Below are 20003 nucleotides of genomic sequence, written 5' to 3' on the forward strand. Positions count from 1 at the left end.
ATTTCAGACAGAGTGTGGCTCTGTCACCCAGGCTGGAGTGCAGTGGCAGAGTCTTGGCTCACTGCAACCTCCACCTTCCGGGCTCAAACCATCCTCCCATCTCAGCCTCCCAAGTAGCTGCAACTACAGGTGAGCACCACCACACCCAGTTAAGTTTTGTATTTTTGATAGAGACAGGGTTTCACCATGTTGCCCAGGCTGGTCTCGAACTCCTGGGCTCAAGCTATCCGCCTGATTCAGCCTCCCAAAGTGCTGGGACTACAGGTGGGAGCCAATGTGTTCCACTGAATGCCGACAGACTTCTAACAAATGCATCAGCAAGGCAGTACCAGCTGATTAATCAACAAATGAACATAAACACAGTATATCCAACAATGTCACTACTGATCAATTTAATTCATAACTTTCCAGATTTAAAGGTAAAAAAATATGCTTGCTAAAATTTAAATACAGTCTTTATAATGCTAAGCTTGGCATAAGGCACAATCTCCAGATTCTCTTTCTTTTTTTTTTTTTTTTTTTTTTGGAGACACAGTCTCTCAGCCACCCAGGCTGGAGTGGAGTGGCGGGATCTTGGCTCATTGCCTCTGCCTCCTGGGTTCAAGTGATTATTGTGCCTCAGCCTTCCAAGTAGCTGAGATTACAGGTGCCCGCCACCGAGCCCAGCTAATTTTTGTTTTTTCAGTAGAGACGGGTTTTGCCATGTTGCCCAGTCAGGTCTTGAACTCCTGGCCTCATGTGATCCGCCCGCCTCGGCCTTCTAAAGTGCTGGGATTACAGGCGTGAGCCACCGCACCCAGCCTCAGATTCTCTTTTTCTGTTTTCCGCTTTTCCCTCTCTCCTACCTTCTTCCCTCCCAGTCACCCTCCACTTACCTGAGCTGGCTTAGAAAATCTTGGGGTTAAGGCTGTTAGTTTCTGGAGGAACTCACAAGCTTCCTGTAGTTTGTTAAGAGCTTGCAAACCATGAACTGCTCTGCTGAAGTTCCCTGCTATCTCATCTATGACCTATTGGGAACAAAGAAGTTGTCAAAATTACTCATACAAAATTACTGTACTGTAGTAGTCAGGGAGATTATTTTCATCCAAGTTGACCTTGGGTAACTTTATAAACCCTATGAACCACAGCTCTCTAAAACAGTGATTACTTTCAGAAGCTTTTCTGCGAGTGGACAGAATTTATTTCTACTTCTTCCATACGATAGAGAAAATGAATAACGAGATTATATAATGATTGCTCCAAGGGCAAATGAGTCTGGAAATAAGATTTATAGCAGTAACTTTAAGTGTTAAGGCCATGAAGATGAGGGAAACTTGGAAATTAAAAAGCCAAAACCAAACTTTTCTATTCAGAAGTATGTTTTCCTCTCAGGCTTCCCTGTGTGTGTGTTTCCCTCCATTCAAGTATTCGTATTTAAGGCTGGGCGTGATGGCTCACGCCTGTCATCCCAGCACTTGGGAGGCTAAGGCAGGCAGATCACTTGAGGTCAGGAGTTCAAGAGCAACCTGGCCTACATAGCAAAACCCTGTCTCTACTAAAAATACAAAAATTAACCAGGCTTGGTGGTGTACACCTGTAGTCCCAGCTACTCGGGAGGCTGAGGCAGGAGAATCTCTTGAACCCGGGAGGCAGAGGTTGCAGTGAGCCGAGATTGCGCCACTGCACTCCAGCCTGGGCGACAGATCGAGAATCTGTCTCAAAAAAAGAGTCCATATTCAAGAGGTAATGACTTAAAATGACTCATAGCAAGAGGTGGGAAGCAGAAAACCTCCCTGCCCTAAGAAACAGACTGAGCAAATGGCCGCGGTCCCAAAGCTTAAGTGGCTACTGCACTTGAACTCAAAGTCCAACCCTGAGACAATCACCATTAATGCCAACTACATGGTCCATTTCTGGAGAATACCTCACTCACAGCCTAATTCAACCACATATTCAAGAAATCTTGATTAAATGCTGACATTGCTAAATCCTCTTAATATTTCTAATAATTTATTATAGATCCTTTTAGATATTCTGTACTTCAGGATTTCCAAGAAAAACAAAAACAAAAACAAAAATCTTTGTTTAAACTCCTGTAGGTCAGTTTCTCCCCCAAATAGAACACTGAATTTCCATTACCATTGCAAGCAGATCCAGAGTGAACAGGATTGTTTTAGCAGGGAAATGTTCAACTGCATATAAACAGGGCTCGTTTGAGTTTAGGGAAAAAAAAGCATGAGGGAAGCAGGATTATTTTCTTCAGTCAATACTGTCAAAGGGACTTTGCCTTTTTTTGAGAGAGAGTTTTGTTCTGTTGCCCAGCCTACAGTATACAGTGGCACAATCATGGCTCACTGCAGTCTGGACCTCCCAGGCTCAAGCAACCCTCCCACCTCAGCCCCTGCCCCGCCACCCCCAAGTAGCTGGGACTACAGGCACATGCCACCACACCTGGCTAATTTTTTTTTGAAGTTTAATAGAGAAAAGGTCTCATAAAGTTGCCTAAGCTGGTCTCAAACTCGGGCTTACGTGATCCTCCACCTCGGCCTCCCAAAGTGCTGGAATTACAGGCGTGAGCCACTGTGCCTGGCTAATTTTTTTGAACTTTAGTAGAGAAAGGTCTTGCTACGTTGCCCAGTCTGGTCTAAAACTCCTGGGCTCAAGTGATCCTCTCACCTTGGCCTCCCAAATGCTGGGATTATAGGCGTGACTCAGTGAGCCTGGCTGCCTTGTCCATGTTTTTGGGAGGAAGGAAACAAGGCGGAGAGAGGGGACAGTGAGTAGGAGGAATTGTCTAGAGGTTTGCTGCTGCTGAAAAAGCAGGGTAGGTGAACAGAACTTCTTCCCCATCTGAAGCATTAAATAGAATAGCATTAAATAGTGTCATTAATGAAACGTTGGGCTGTATATGTGCTGTCAAATTGGCTGTTTCCATGGACTTGTTTAGTTTTTGTTTTGGATTGGCATATACGCTGGTCTGTCAGGCATTCTTAGGTGTAGTTCTGCAGGGAGGCAAATGGGTGAACCAAGTACTTTTTGGGGGTCACAAAGCTACCTGTGACTTGAATTTCCCATGTTTACCTGACCAGATGCCTTCTGCAATGACACTTGTAGATAAGAGGTGAAGGTATTCGGATGACCTTCTTCCTTTGGGCTTGAAGTTGTTTCTGCCAGAGATTGCCCAGCATGCGTGACAGACACGGGCATGGTGAGCTGTGTTATCACAGGGAGAGGCTGGCTGCTGGGTTCAGATGCGGCTGATGTTACCTGTGATGTGATACTTGATAGTACTGAAGGAAACTGGCTGATGGGATGACACAGGGTCTTGGACTAAAAGATAAAAATATGTAAAGGAAAAGACTGAATCTGATTTTACCATTTTATAATTAAGGCAGCATTTCCCCAAATACTCTGAAACTCTGTCCTATGAGATACTAATAGGCATTTCTGTTAAAAAAAATTCTGTGCTCAAACAGAATTTTGAAATTTCAAGAAATCTGCATATTACTTGAGATTCATGATTTATATTAGTGTATTTATTGTCAATCGTTCAATAAATTCTTAAACATTTATAAGTTGCTAAGAATGTTCTAGAGAACTGAATATGGCAATGAGCAAAAGGAGCCAAGTTCCTGCGCTTGTCGAGCCCCTGTGTTAGTGGTAGAGGCAGAGAAACAAATTATGTCACATATTAAATACGTGCTATGAAGAAAACAATAATGCTAAGCAGAGAGAAAGTGGATGTCATGGAGGATGTTCAGTGGTAAGGAGAGGATTTTTTTTTTTTTTTTTTTTTTTTTTTTGAGACAGAGTCTCACTCTGTCTCCCAGGCTGGAGTGCAGTGGCACGATCTCGGCTCACTGCAGCCTCCGCCTCCTGGGTTCAAGTGATTCTCCTGCCTCAGCCTCCTCAGTAGCTGGGATTACAGGCGTGCACCACCATGCCCGGCTAATTTTTGTATTTTTAGTAGAGATGGGGTTTCACCATGTTGGCCAGGATGGTCTCGATCTCCTGACCTTGTGATCCACCCACCTTGGCCTCCCAAAGTGCTAGGATTACAGGCGTGAGCCACTGCACCCGGCTGAGGAGAGGATTTCTTGAGACTGGTTGTCACTCTGTCACCCGGGCTGGAGTACAGTGGCACAATCATGGCTCCTTGCAGCCTTGACCTCCTGGGTTCAGGTAATCCTCCTGCCTCAGCCTCCCAAGCAGCTGGGACTACAGGCACACACCACCATGCCTGGCTACTTTTGAGATGGAGTCTTGCTCTGTTACCCAGGCTGGAGTGCAGTGGCGCCACCTCAGCTCACTGCAGCCTCCTCTTCCCGGTTCAAGCAATTCTCCTGGCTCAGCCTCCTGAGTGGCTGGGACTACAGGACCACATCACCACACCCGGCTAATTTTTGTATTTTTAGTAGAGACAGGGTTTCACCACCATGTTGCCCAGGCTGGTCTCAAACTCCTGACCTCAAGTGATCCGCCACCTCGGCCTCCCAAAGTGCTGGGATTACAGGTGTGAGCCACTGCACCCGGCCTTTTTTCACTTTTTTAGACAGGATTTCACTACGTTGCCCAGGCTGGTCTTGAACTCCTAGCTTAAGCGATCCTCCTGCCTCGGAGTCCCAGAGTGCTGAGATTACAGGCATGAGGCACTGTGTCTGATGGAGGGACATTTTTGCTGAGTTGAATACAGGGAGAGAGAGAGCTCTGCCCATAGGTTAGTGACGGTATGTGAGGAGTGCAAAGGCCCCCAAGCCCACAGCCAGCTAGCTCTGAGGAAGACCAAGGAAGCTAGAGGAGTGATGGTGGCAGGAGGGGGATTCAATAAGATCCCAGGGCCAGGGGAGTGTCATATATCAGGCAGTTGAAGGGAATGCAGATGTTATTTTTAATGAGGCAGGAAGACAAAGGGCTTTGCAGAACAGTGGCATGATTTCACTTGTTTTCACGGATCCTTCTGTGTTTTAAATGATCAACCATTCTGTTGAGAAGGGTCAGAAAAGGGGGCAACAGTAGAAGCAGATCAGTAGGAGGCAAATGTAAAAGTTCATTTGTAAATTTTTTTTTTGTTTTGAAATCGTGTCTCCTTCTGTCACCCAGGCTGGAGTTCAGCGGTGCGATCTTGGCTCACCGCAACCTCCACCTCCCAGGTTCAAGGAATTCTTCTGCCTCACCCTCCCCAGTAGCTGGGATTACGGGCACCTGCCATCACACCCGGCTAATTTTCATATTTTTAGTAGAGATGGGGTTTCGCCATGTTGGCCTGGCTGGCCTCGAAATCCTGGCCTCAAGTGATCCACCCACCTTGGCCTCCCAAAGTATGGGGACTGCAGGCATAAGCCACCGCACCAAGCCAGCAAACGTGAAAGTTCAGATGGGAGATGGTGACTTGGACCATGTGGTGATCGTGGTGACCATGGTGAGAAGGGGTTAGATTTGGGACCTGTGAAAGACTGCAAAGTCCTATAGTCAAAAGCCTTTGTTGTCTTCTCTTCCAGCAACATATTATAGGGGTGGCAAAACTCCACCTCCATTCTCTTAGGGCTCCAGCTGGGCCTGAGAATTAAACTAACATAAGATAAACGGGAGAAAAGCACACACATTTATTGAGTCCAAGTTTTATGTGGCACAGGAGCCCTCATAAAAAAAATGAAGACCTGAAGCAGCAGTTAGAGTCCATCTCTCCTATGCTGAATTGGACAAATAGTTGTGAAGAAGTGAAATTATGTGGGGAGGCTTAAAAGATAAGCGTTATCTTAACAAGTCCTGTGCAGAATTCTCCAGGTCTTGACTTCTCCTGGAGGACAACAATGTTGCATATTTCACAAGAGAATTTTACCTTGTTTTTAAGAAACGGTACCAAGGTCAGAGTGCTGTTTTTGCACCTGCCATTTTTCAAATGCCTTTAACTGAAATCATCAATATAGCAGAGTGGCATATTTTTATCTCTTTCAATTTCAAGGGCTAGTGGTTGTTGCTCTGCAGAAAACAGCGTGGGAAATACTGAGGGTTTTTTTGTTTTGTTTTGTTTTTGAGATGCAGTCTCCCTCTGTCGCCCAAGCTGGAGTGCAATGGCACAATCTTGGCCCACTGCAAACTCCGCCTCCTGGGTTCAAGTGATTCTCCTGCCTCAGCCTCCCAAGTAGCTGGGATTACAGGCGCTCCACCAAGCCTGGCTAATTTTTATACTTTTAGTAGAGACGAGGTTTCACCATGTTGGCCAGGCTGGTCTCGAACTCCCGACCTCAGGTGATCCGCCCGCCTCGGCCTCCCAAAGGGCTGGGATTACGGGCGTGAGCCACCGTGCCCAGCCTCTGTTCTTTTATACTGTTAGAAACACTTATTTTTGCAGCGAGCATTGAGTCAAACAAATGCATATCTGTGTTTAGGCATCAACTAAAGGGTTTCTACATAGGACACAAGGGCAAGAATGCTGAGAGATTTCTTGAAGGTGAAATTTTATAGATTATGTGGACAGTTTCTACCTTTATTTCCTTTCCCTTTCTGTTAGATGTTTACGTTTTATTGCATTGTATTTTTGTAAGATGCCACAAGTCCTTTCTGGAATGAAGCAGGGAATAAATACCCAACCAACAAACACTTGATAATTACATCAGCATGAAAGCCAGAAAGAGAGGCTTTAAAAATTCCAAGTTTGGAGGTGGTGGCTCACACGTGTAATCCCAGCAGTTTGGGAGGCTGAGGCAGGTGAATTGCTTGAGGTCAGGAGTTTGAGACCAGCCTGGCCAACATAGCAAAACTCCATCTCTACTAAAAATACAAAAATTAGCTGGGTGTGGTGGCGCAGGCCTGTAATCCCAGCTACTTGGGAGGCTGAGGCAGGAGAATCACTTGAACCCGGGAGGTAGAGGTTGCAGTGAGCCAAGATGGATGGCACCATTGCACTCCAGCCTGGGTGACAAAGTGAGACCCTGTCTCTCCCACCAAAAAAAAAAAAAAAAAAAATCCTTGAATGAAGTACCTATTAAATCCAATTTTTTTCTTGCACGTAAGTACTTTATTTTCCTTATTAGAAAACTATATTCAGAACACTCTACAAGATAGAGCTCTAACCAGATCTACTAGGTATGACAAAGAGATCAACATTTCACAATGTATGTTGTCAAGGGAAGCACTTACAAGATGAGCAGGAAGAGGATAGTGACATGTGGTTGGAAGATGACCAGGTCCTATAGAAAAAAGAAAGCAGACTAAGTTCAAGTAAAAGCCTAAGACAGAAATATTCGTTTTACTTGAGGACTTCTTATTCATGGCTAAAAATAATGCAAATTGTTTTACATAGAAAACCAAGGCCGGACATGGTAGCTCATGTCTGTAATCCCAGCACTTTGGGAGGCTGAGGCAGGCAGATCACTTGAGGTCAGGAGTTTGAGACCAGCCTGGCCAGTGTGGTGAAACCCCTATCTCTACTAAAAACATAATAATTAGCCGGGCGTGGTGGCGGATGCATATAATCCCAGCTACTCGGGAGGCTGAGGCAGGACAATTGTTTGAACCTGGGAGGCAGAGGTTGCAGTGAGCCGAGATTGTGCCACTGCACTCTAGCCTGGGCAACAGAGCTAGATTCCACCCCCACCCCCTGCCAAAAAAAAATAAAGGTAAGGAAGGAAAAGACAAAAGGGAACCTATGATGATCACTCGAGGACCTGGGAATGGAATCCAGAGGACTCCAAGGAAAGCACAGCCCTGAAAATTATCAACAACAAAATCCAGAAAAAAAGTTCAGAAAGCTGTTAATACATCCTTAATAAGAACATCCTTAATAGAACGAAAAAGGTTATTTCCCCAAATAAAAGGTCTCACCTATTTATTACTGCATCAGCTTATGAGTGAAGAACACAGAAACAAAGAGAAAAACCATTTTCCCAGTAAAAAATGCCTGAACATATGGGACATTTTCAGCTTGAAAAGGTAAGATGACAGTGATTGATACAGGGACGACCTTGATTGATACAGCATAAGTATATGTGCCATCTTAACGTGCAGTTCCTTACAGACCCAGCATGCCTGTTCTCCAGTGTCTCCTCTTGGAGTTGTACCTGATTTTATCACCGGTTTCATCCGAATCCACTGGGGAATAAAATGATTTTGCTTTTATTTCTTGGCCAGGAATCACATGATCCTGAAAGTCTTGTGAGAAGACATGGCAAGAAACCGAGTCAACCACACCCACCATGATGATGGAGAAAGGTAGAGGTAACCAAACAAAATCCTAAGGATAACCACTTGAAGCTAACATGCACCAGAATGAGGTACATTAAAAGAAAAATAAACGATATCAAAGGATTTCAAGATGACAAAAAAAATACTGTAGAAAAATTAAAATCCACATGGGAGGGAATACTGAGCAGATGTGGAAAAATTAGTCCCTGATATGGAAGATAAATGTAAGGTGCTCTCCTAACAACAAAAAGGGTGATAAATACGAAACCATTCTTTTTCATTTAAAGAGTACAGGAAAGACACAGAGGGTAGGAAGCAGCAATATGGCACGTAGATATCTGGTATTTCCTAAGGACAAAACCACAACAAATGAAATAGAAGTGATACATACGTAGGATATTCTTGATTCAAAAAAGATGTGTATATGTAGCATCATGTTCTAAGCACAATTAGTGAAAAGTAACCTAGATACACACTGAGAAAATTTCTGAATTACAAAAAACTTTTACAAGCAATCTGATAGAGATTTTAAAAGGATGCCTGGAGTGCGGTATGGCTCTAACAGCCTCTAACTCCTGGATTTAAACTATCCTCCTTCCTCAGCCTCCTGAGTAGCTGAGACTATAGGCATGGACCACCACATCTAATTTTTTTAATTTTTATTTTTAAAAGTTTTTTGTAGAGACAGAGACCCAGTATGTTGCCCAGGTTGGACTGGAACTCCTGGCCTCAAGCAGTCCTTCCAACTCAGCCTCCCACGGTGCTGGGATTACAGGTGTGAGCCACCGTATTACACCCAAGCCACACCTAGGATTACAGGTGTGAGCAAATGTCTGCTGAGGGGAGATCCAGCCCGCAAACTTTTTAAAGGACCCTACGTACATAAATATTAGGCATATTGCTTGTTAGGTAAATTGCCCCACAATAAGGCAGTCTACATTTTTCCCAATGAGGAGATTTTAAAAAGTATTCCTGGGGCAAGCTTGACAATATAAACTTAAAGGATATAGGTGAAATAGTCAAATGTCTATTTAATTCAGTAATTTAGTTTTACTATGACACTTAAAGCCACATGTTACGTAAGGTAATAATGGAAGCATTGCTCTCACTAAACTCACATTGCGGGACACAGCTTAAACATTTCAAATGTGTCTTTAACATCATTGCATTAATTATCATCAGAACAACTTTTGGATTTAACAGTTTTCCAAAATATGTCATCTTTACTTCCACCTAATGCTATCACTAAACATTTTCCTACAACTCACAAGTCCCAATTTACAAAGGATTGAGAAAAGCTGGATTTTACATTTGTTCTTTAAATATATATTCATGTCTCTAAATAAAACCTTCTATATTGCTAAGTGATATTTAAAGGGTTTGTTGATCAGGACATCTAACATTTGCAGCTGTGAGGTCATACCCCGAAGAGTGATCACGAGATCCACTTTAAATCGATCTGTTTCACTTCTTTCTTTCAGTTGATCTCTATAACCACCCATCCACCGATATTGATTGCCGTCATTTCAGGCTAATGCATCCTTCCCAAATAGTACTTGTTTTTCAAAATTAAATAAACAAGTGATAACACCATAATTTGAAAGACTTTGCAAGAACTTTAAGACGACTACTTTGTTGATGAAAAATTTTGTGGGAATAAAACCTTGTCTTTTATTTGGGAATATATGAAAAGACGGCGGCCAAGGGCATATCAAGAAAACACATACATAAAATGAAGGCAAAGACTGCCATATTAAGATCAGACAGAATAGAATGCAACGAATATTGGGCACATGTTATAACACATTTCAGCATTAATTCAGTCTTGTGCATTCTTTTAGCAGAAATTGATTCCACGGATTTTTAAGGTTACTAGAGGAGTAACGCATTACCTGGGGGCATTTTGTCTCTTGCTATTGCAACTCCTCTTTTTGTCTTCTTGTGTCTCTGGTACAAATGGGAATTATTTCCATTTCTTTCATAATGGGCATCTCCGTCCAAAAAGTCACCTATTTGAAAGCCAACACACAAGTTAATTTATAGGTTATAGCTATGGCTACAAGTCTATAAAACCATCATTACATGCACGTATGTGATAATCAGGAAAACACAAATTAAAAATTCCTATCCAGTTTTTTAAGGACACTAAGAATTCTGCAGTAGCCCTTTTGCTCTGCTCACATTATGGTGTCCCACATTTCAAATTAAGTTCACTAGTTGGGTCAACACTGAGAAGTTCATTAACCCATTTATGCCTAGTGTTCCATTATTGGAACACTAGGCATGTGGAGTTATTTACATCCTACTGCTTAAGGTCATCGCCAGGGTCTGATTTTTCACCAAAAAAGTTTGCAACCTCCAGCATAAATGGAAAATTCCATACTAAGCGTAATATTCTCCTTTGAGTTCTGTAACTCTCATTGGTAGAGATAAAAGAGTTCAGAAGGTGGATGATAACATTCTTTTTTTTGAGACAATTTTTGCTCTGTTGCCCAGGCTGGAATGCAATGGCACGATCTGGGCTCACTGCAATCTGCACCTTCTGGGTTCAAGTGATTCTCCTGCCTCAGCCTCCCGAGTAGCTGGGATTACAGGCACGTGCCACCACGCCTAATTTTTTATTTTTAGTAGAAACGAGGTTTCACCATGTTGGCCAGGCTGGTCTTGAACTCCTGACCTCAGGTAATGTGCCCGCCTTGGCCTCCCAAAGTGCTAGGATTACAGGTGTGAGCCACCACGCCCGTCTGGCAATAACATTCTTGAACATGCCTCCTTGCATACACGAGCAAGAGTTTCTCACACACACAATTGGACATGGCTAGAGAAAATCATATAACCATGATGACTATGGCTCAGCTTAAATTCGCTATCGTGAAGCTCGAGCAGCCTGCCTTCATACTGCCTGGCAGTCATACTGTTTCCACTCTCCCAGGTGACTCCCACTTCCCTCTCTCTACTCAACCTCCAACACCTGGGAGCCTCCCTCAGTCTCATTCTTAGGTCAGGTGATAACCTTGCTTTCTAACTCAAGGGGAATATCAAAGCAATTTAGAGTCCTTCCATGACTCTGACCATCAAATCTAGCTGTCTACCAGCACCTGTACCTGTAGCGAGACAATGCCTTCTCTCATGCTGCTACAAATCTTCCTACTCCTACCCAAAGTGAATCCCTCTAGTTGTTTGGTAGCTCAGATTAAGTACATCATTCCTGCATGCTATTTCTTCTGCCTTAAAAAAAACCCAGCAACTTATATTGGCCTCATGAACTATTGCCCCAGCTGTTTCCTGCTCTTGAGCAAAATTACCTTAAAAATTGTCCAAACTTATCAGCTCCAATTCTTCTCCTCCCCTCTTTTTCCCTACATTTAGGGATTGCTTTTTACAATGTTAACAGGCTGGGTGTGGTGGCTCATGCCTGTAATCCCCGCACTTAGGGAGGCCGAGGAGACTGTATCACCTGAGGTCAGGAGTTCGAGACCAGCCTGGCCAGGATGGTGAAACCGCCGTCTCTACTAAAAATACAAAAATTAGCCGAGTGCCTATAATCCCAGCTACTTGGGAGGCTGAGGCAGGAGAATCACTTGAACCCAGGAGGTGGAGGTTGCAGTGAGCCAAGATCACGCCATTACACTCCAGCCTGGGCAACAAGAGTAAAACTCCATCTCAAGAAAAAAAAACAGTTGACTTAAATTTGTTTTATAATTGCTTTAGTCTGTTTTGCACTGCTATAACAGACTACCACAAACAGGGTAATTTATAAAGAACAGAAATCTAATGCTCACAGTTCTGGAGGCTGGACGTCCAAGAAGAAGGCACTGGCACTTGGAGTTGGGGGAAGGCTGCAACCTCGTAAGGTGAAAAGGCAAGAGAAGCCCTCCCTCTGCCAAGTCCTTTTATAAGGGCCCCTAATCCCATTCACAAGGGAGGAGCCCTGTAGGCCAACCCACCTCTTAAAGCCCCACGTCTTAATGCGATCACATTGGCAACACCTGTTTTGGAAGGGGCACATTCAAACCATAGCAATAATTATGGAAAACATTTAAAGAGTTCCAATGCCAAACTATAAAACCAGGTACATTTCGAAAGGTCTCATTTCCATCTTCATCCTTTCTGCCCTATTTTCTCTCTCCCTCATAGGTAACCATTTTCATTAGTTTTTGTTTCTCCTTCTGTTATATTTATACGTACGTGTATGTATACAGGCAAATATATATGTTCTGTACCTTTATTTTCCACTAAAAAAATACATCATAGAGATAACCCCACTGCAGTACATGGAGATTGTTGTTATTTGCTTTTTACAACCAGTTCCCTCTTGATGGGCATGTGGATTATTCCTACTTTTTTCTATCACAGAGAGCTACAATGAATAGCCTTACGTGTGCATCTTTTTGTACTTTTGCTGGTTTGACTTTGGGATAGATTCCTAGCAGTGGACACTGGGTCAAGGGTAGATGTATATGTAATTTTGCTAGATATTGCTGAATTCCCCTTTATTTATAAATATATACAGATTATATCTTACTGCATTCTCACTAGCAACTTATGAGAGTACCTATTTTCTTATGGCCTTGCCAACGGAAAGTGTTGTTAAGTTTGTGGATTTATGCCAATCTGATAGGTGGGAAAGGGTATCTCAGTTTATTTTTAATTTGCATTACGCTATTTTTTTTGGCAAAAATACTGTGTAAGTGATGTGTATACTTACATCAGTGCATTTTTCTTTTTTTTAAAAAATGTAACTTATTATTTTGAGATAATTGTATATTCACATGCCGATGTAAGAGAAAATGCAGAGAGATGCCTTTATCCAGTTTCCAAGGGTAACATCTTGCAAGGGTAACAACAGGATATGGACGCTGATACAGTCATGTCAAAATTTTTTTTCAATTGCTATAAGAATCCCTCACATTGACCCACCTCCCCCGCCTTTTTTTTTTTTTTTTTTTTTTTTTCTGAGACGGAGTCTTGCTCTGTCACCAGGCTAGAGTGCAGTGGCGCAATCTTGGCTGACTGCAACCTCCGCCTCCCGGTTCAAGCGATTCTCCTGCCTCAGCCTCCTGAGTACCTGGGACTACAGGTGCACACCACCACGCCTGGCTAATTTTTGTATTTTTAGTAGAGACTGGGGTTTCACCATGTTGGCCAGGATGGTCTCAATCTCTTTACCTCGTGATCCACCCGCCTTGGCCTCCCAAAGTGCTGGGATTACAGGCATGAGCCACTGTGCCTGGCCCACATTGTCCTTTTATAGCGACGCCTACTTCCTTCCTGCCCCCATGCCCTTCTTAGACCCCGACAACCACTAATCTGTTCTCCATTTCTATCATGTTATCATTTCAAGAATGCTCAATAAATGGCACCATAGAGTACGTAACATTTTGAGATTGGCTTTGTTCACTTGGCACAATTCTCTGGAGATTGCTGTGTGTATCAATAGTTTGTTTCTTTTTATTACTGAATTGGACTCCATGGAATCCAATTCAACAACCAGAGGGATTCACTTTGGGTAGGAGTATGAAGGTTTGTAGCAGCATGAGAGAAGGCATTATCTCTCTACAGGTACAGGTGCTGGTAGGTGGGTAGATTTGGTGGTCCGAGCCTTGGACGGACTCCAAATTGCTTTGATTTTTTTTTTTTTTTTTTTTCTCCTTGAGTTAGAAAGCGAGGTTATCACCTGACCTAAGAATGAGACTGAGGGAGGCTCCCAGTTGTTGGAGGTTAAGTAGAGAGAGGAAAGTGGGAAAGAGTCACCCGGGAGAGTGGAAACAGTATGACTGCTATGGCTAGACCACAGTGGTTTAATCATTCACCTGTTGACAGACATCTGAATTGTTTCCAGTTTTGTTCTGTTATGAATAAAGCTGCTATAAGCATCCATATACATAGTTTTACGTGAGCACAGGTTTTCTCATTCTGCGATAAATGCCCAGCAATTGCTCAGTTGTATGGTAGTTGTTTTTTTTTTAAGAAATCACCAAGGCCGGGCACGGTGGCTCATTCCTGTAATCCTAGCACTTTGAGAGGCCGAGGTGGGAGGATTGCTTGAGTCCAGGAGTTCGAGACCAGCCTGGACAACATAACAAGACCCCCCCCCCCACAACCACTCCCCACTCCACCGTCTCCACATAAAAAAATAAATAGGCTGGGCGCAGTGGCTCATGCCTGTAATCCCAACACTTTGGGAGGCCAAGGCAGGCGGATCATCTGAGGTTGGGAGTTCGAGACTGGCCTGACCAACATGGAGAAACCCCATCTCTACTAAAAATACAAAATTAGCCGGGCATGGTGGCACATGCCTGTAATCCCAGCTACTAGGGAGGCTGAGGCAGGAGAATCACTGGAACCCGGGAGGCGGAGCTTGTGGTGAGCCGAGATTGTGCCATTGCACTCCAGCCTGGGCAACAAGAGCAAAACTCAGTCTTGGAAAAATAAATAAATAAATAAATAAATAAATAAATAAATACAACAACTACACACACACAAATGCATACGTACATACATACATAGCTTAATCCTGATCTACTTCTGCAGAGGCGAACCTCGGATAACAGCCCTCTCACCGTTCGACTTCTCATCTTCCTCTGCCTTATTCTCTTCTCCTCCTTCTCTTTCCCATCCTTCCCTCTGAAGCCCAAATGCTGACTGAATTATGAGTGTGCATGTGGAAAATGGTGTCACCAATACAATTTCTCCCACACTCTGCCCAAGTCAAAACACGAGGAGGACATCAAGGCACAACTCTTCCAACTCCCAGTGGGGATGGATCCAAGGAAGTCACTCCAGATAATTTTCTCATGCTAATCAGCATCATGAAAATCAAAAGCCCTGTATCATCCCATGGTCTAACACTCACAGACTATTTAACCAATATTCTCACATGCACTCCTTATTTAGAATCAGTTTCTAAAATTTGGGTCTTTGGCAGCATGTAGCTTTATCACTTACCAGTCTGGCAAATGAAATAGTATTTCAGTAAGCACTTGTCCCCTTTGGATGAGATCCGAATGAAGTTTCTGGACAGGTAGGTGCAGCTGAGGGGCTTTGGGGGCCCGTTGGCTGCAACGTCTGCTGAGGGGAGATCAGACGCAGATGAGCCTCATACTCGAAAGCCAGGCTTTTAGGTTTATTTTTTATTATTGTTTTTGAGACAGTCCCACTCAGTCACCCAAGCTGGAGTGCAGTGGTGTGATCTTCACTCACTGCAATCTCTGCCTCCTGGGTTCCAGTAATTCTCCTGCCTCAGCCTCCCAAGTAGCTGGGATTACAGGCACCCGCCACCACGCCCAGCTAATTTTTGTATTTTTAGTAGAGATGGGGTTTCACCATGTTGGCCAGGCTGGTCTCGAACTCCTGATCTCAGGTGATCCATCCACCTCCACCTTCCAAAGTGCTAGGATTACAGGCGTGAGCCACCACACCCACCCTGCCAGGCATTTTTTAAAAGTAAATATGAAAGCCAAATTTGACTGACTTCCAATAGATAAAAATGTAGAATTTCCTCCCATACATTATAGTTTATTTTTTCATATGTGTTCCTTACCACAAGGCTTAGTATTACTTTATCTACACGTTAATGAAGATGATGAGAATGATATAATAATGGCTTGGATTTGTCTCTAAAACTTCAAGATTATGGTGCATAACTTTGAAAACACTTTGTAAGGGCCGGGCGCGGTGGCTCACGCCTGTAATCCCAGCACTTTTGGAGGCCGAGGCGGGCGGATCACGAGGTCAGGAGATCAAGACCATCCTGGCTAACACAGTGAAACCCCGTCTCTACTAAAAATACAAAAAATTAGTCGGGCGTGGTGGCGGCCACCTGTAGTCCCAGCTACTCGGGAGGTTGAGGCAGGAGAATGGCGTGAACCCGGGAGGCGGAGCTTGCAGTGAGCCAAGATGGCACCACTGCACTCCAGCCTGGGCGACAGAGCGAGACTCCATCTCAAAAAAAAAAAAAAAGAAAAAGAAAACACTTTGTAAGAAAGACAATAGGTAGATACTCTTCCTCTTAGTTTTGTGTTAGGAAACTTAGAGATCAGAATAATGAAGAGATGTTTATTAGGAAAAAAATGACCATCAAAGTTTCTGTCTTTGGAACGTAGCATAATTCTTTTAGTGAAAGGTCAGGTAAGTTAACTTTAGATGGGTTCCAGGAAAAATTGCATCATTTTTGCTAACAGACAAATCAAAGGCTGTCGCACAAAATGGAAATATTTCAGAGGAAAGATGGTAATGAAGTAAAGTGACTGGTTTTTCTGTCTACAAAAGCAGAAAGATTAAGATTTTCTTTTTTTTTTCTGTCCCAGAATAAAATATAAGGAAGTTTCCTTCATAAACACTGAACCCCAGGGTCTTACCTGGGTATTTGTTGTCTTGATGCTTTTTCAATGGCATTACATTTTGCCCAATCCACCACTTCTTTCCTTCTTCCAGATAGTCCCGGATGAGATCTTGAACTTCCTTGTTCCAAATATGAGCTAGGAATCCTCTCTGCACATGACAGTAATGCTGTGCTTCCTCAAAGCTGCATTGAAATCTGTTAAGCTGGTAACAATTATTTTGCCCATGTGGTGCTGGGCTGTTTAGCTCACTTCCTAGAATAATACTTGTTCTGATGTATAACCAAAGCCAGCTTCCTCCTTTGAAGAACATTTTCTCTGAATTGTAGCAAGAAAAAGTGTGGGGGTTTAGCAGCTGCCTGGTCCTTTAAATATATATATTGGCGGGCTTGTCTTATTAGTATTATTCTTTTATGAATTGGGAACAATTTACCAAGGATACAAAAGGTTTTGTTTTGAGGACCCAGGTGCAGGTCCTACAAGCTGAAAACAAATAGCAGAGATCAATAAAACAATGGCCCTTTTTATCTGGGGCCCCACCATCTGTGTCTACCTACCGAATATGCCTTTAGCAAATAGAGATCGATTATAAAGCTGAGTCTAAGCTGCACTGGGTAGAGGATGATGAATATCTAACATCTAAGTTAGTGCTGCTAAAAATTAATAAGTGTAGCTTTTTCTTTTCTGAGGCAGGGTCTCATTCTGTTGGTCAGGCTGGAGTGCAGTGGCATGATCTCAGCTCACTGCGCCTCAACCTCCCACCTCAGCCTCCTCAGTAGCTGGGGACTATAGGAGTGCACTACCATGCCCACCTAATTTTTTTTTTTTTTTGAGATAGGGTCTTGCTATGTTGCCCAGGGTGTTCTTCTGGGCTCAAGCCATCTGCTCACCTCGGCCTCCCAAAGTTCTGGAATTACAGGTGTGAGCCACCACACTCAGCCACATTTTTTTTTTTTTTTTAAAGAAAGTTATTCTTGCAGATCCCCTAGGATTGATTTTTTTTTTCTTTGAGATAGAGTTTTGCTCTTGCTGCCCAGGTTGGAGTGCAATGGTGTCATCTCAGCAACTTCTGCCTCCTGGGTTCAAGCGATTCTCCTGCCTCAGCCTCCCAAGTAGTTGAGGCATGTGCCACCACACCTGGCTAATTTTGTATTTTTAGTAGAGATGGAGTTTTGCCATGTTGGTCAGACTGGTCTCAAACTCCTAACCTTAGGTGATCCACCCACCTCGGCCTCCCAAAGTGCTGGGATTACAGACGTGAGCTACTGCACCTGGCCTGACTTTTTAAAAAAATAAATGTTATTGTGTATATTTAAGGCACACAGCATGATGTCATGGGATACATATAGATATTAAGAAGGTTACTATAGTAAAACAAACATATCCATCATCTCACATTAGTTACCCACTTTTTTTTTTGTTTTTGTAGCAAGAGCAGCTAAAATCTCATCTAGCATGAATCCTGTCTACTGTATGGTTTTATTACCTGTAATCTTCAGTTTGTACACTAAATCTCTTGACTTGTTCATCCTACATCTCTGCTACCCCCAGGACTGATTTAAATTACTGTATTCTGTCTCTTAAGTACATGCAAACAGAACTAGGCATAAATGCTATTTTTTTTTTATGGGGTCTCACTATGCCACCCAGGCTGGAGGGCAGTAGCATGATCATAGCTCAGTGCAGCCTTGAACTCCTGGACTCAAACGATCCTCTCACCTTGGCCTCCCAAACTGCAGGTGTGAGCCACCGTCCCTGGTCCATGAACTTTATCTTAAAACTCTTACACGGTCATAAAAACAAAACAATATTAAATGGAAGAATGAATACAAATTAAATACAAACAAAACTGAAAATCAATGAGATCCAAGTTTTGCCAAGCTAAATGGCAGATAAACAGGGCTCTGGCCTACGACTACACAGGTTCCTTTGAATCTGGCATGCATGCTATTTTATGATATGGGGAGGGTTCAGTTCTGATACCACGTTTCTTTATTTGACTCACACACACACATACACACACAAAAAAAACCTTTGTTCACACAGCAGGTCATTTGGTCTCCACCTGTTGCATATCCATCACGTGTATTACAGCTCGTTCTTTCTTGGTGCCAAAAAGTGATCATAAACTCAAACAAATGTGGGCACTGAACTGCTTGGTAGGTTTCAGGGTTAAGATGGTTATCCAGATAGTCCAAATGATGCTTATGTTACTCTAAAAATCAGTACAGAAGTGGTCACCAAAATTATGAAATTCTCTAAAACACAGACTGCAAGAATACATCCTGTTTGAAAAACACTGCAGTAATCAGCCAGGCGTAGTGGCTCACGCCTGTAATCCCAGTGCTTTGGGAGGCCGAGGTGGGCGGATCACTTGAGGTCAGGAGCTCAAGACCAGCCTGGCCAATATGATGAAACCCCGTCTCTACTAAAAATACAAAAACTAGCCGTGCATGGTGGCGCGTGCCTGTAATCCCAGCTACTCGGGAGGCTGAGGCAGTAGGATCACTTGGCAGTAGGTTGGCAGAGGTTGCAGTAAACTGAGATTGCACCACTGCACTCCAGCCTGGGGGACAGAGCAAGACCCTGTCTCAAAAAAAAAAAAAAACAATAAAAAAAAACCCAAAAGAAAAACACCAAAAACACTGCAGTAATCAAATGAAAGATAAATACAGTATGATCCTCCCTTTCATAAAGTCCAATTAGGGAAGAAAAGGCATAATAATTGTAATTAATATAGGCAGTGAAAAGTGCCAGCCCAGAGGGACAGCTTAGGTGCTGCTGGGAAGGTTCAGATAAGGAAGAAATTACTTCCAGCTTTTGGAATGAACATATTAAGATGGCAATATTTAGACAGATGAAATGGACATCTCGACAGAGGAGTCGATGTGAATAAATACACAGAGGTGGGAAAGTGGAAGGTATTGATAAAGAGAAAGAAATACTTGAGTGTGTGTGTGTGTGTGTGTGTGTGTGTGTGTACATGTAGGGGGTACTTGGTGGAACAGTAGTAGGAACTGTAACCAGAAAATGGGAGAGTTTCAAATGCCAGAATAAAGGGCTTGCAGTTTATTTGGAAGGTTTCTGAGCAGAGTAGTCCACCCTTTCAAGAGTTTGTGACAATGGAATCATCTGGATGTGGGATGCTTTTGTTTTCAAAGTTCACAGAGCCTCAACTTCTAAACATCTTCATATACATACATAAATAAATGCATGATACATCCACACATATGTTTCAAGCTTTTTTTCCAGATTAAAAAATGATACTTTATTATAATTTTTAAAATTGCAGAACGTCAGGCTGAATATCATTAGACACATACACAAAACCACTCATCTCTAAAGTCATCTTCTATACCCTCTCAAAATTTGGCCAATGAATTATGCCTCAGGGAATTTTCCAGTTCAACCCCATACATAAATGGAAACACTAGCCTTTTGGTTTTGCCCACAGTTCCAAAGTGCTATTACAGGTGGAGTATCTGCTGCAGGAGGTCA

General features: G+C 43.0%; 1 protein-coding gene and 1 pseudogene across 12 annotated transcripts in view; both read right to left on the minus strand.

Annotated features, from left to right (window-relative positions):
* Positions 1–17242, minus strand: part of PKD1L3 (polycystin 1 like 3, transient receptor potential channel interacting) — a 70865-nt gene extending 53623 nt beyond the window's left edge. For 7 of the 12 annotated variants that reach the window (XM_024450256.2, XM_024450255.2, NM_181536.2 and 4 more), the window contains exons 1-6: positions 16524–17242; positions 15112–15234; positions 10056–10172; positions 7120–7169; positions 3061–3309; positions 876–1007 (exon numbers count right to left, since the gene is read on the minus strand). In XM_024450256.2, coding sequence (XP_024306024.1) covers positions 876–1007; positions 3061–3309; positions 7120–7169; positions 10056–10172; positions 15112–15234; positions 16524–16818 — 966 coding nt within the window. In that variant the 5' untranslated portion in view covers positions 16819–17242. Of the gene's footprint in view, positions 1–875; positions 1008–3060; positions 3310–5283; positions 6032–7119; positions 7170–10055; positions 10173–15111; positions 15235–16523 lie in introns of those variants that run through there. The other 5 variants (XM_024450254.2, XM_024450257.2, XM_024450258.1 and 2 more) reach the window with 5 other exon arrangements.
* On the minus strand, positions 7891–8245 carry RPL39P31 (ribosomal protein L39 pseudogene 31; annotated as a pseudogene).

Source organism: Homo sapiens, chromosome 16 (genome assembly GCF_000001405.40).
Source record: "Homo sapiens chromosome 16, GRCh38.p14 Primary Assembly".
NCBI classification, from domain to species: domain Eukaryota; kingdom Metazoa; phylum Chordata; class Mammalia; order Primates; family Hominidae; genus Homo; species Homo sapiens.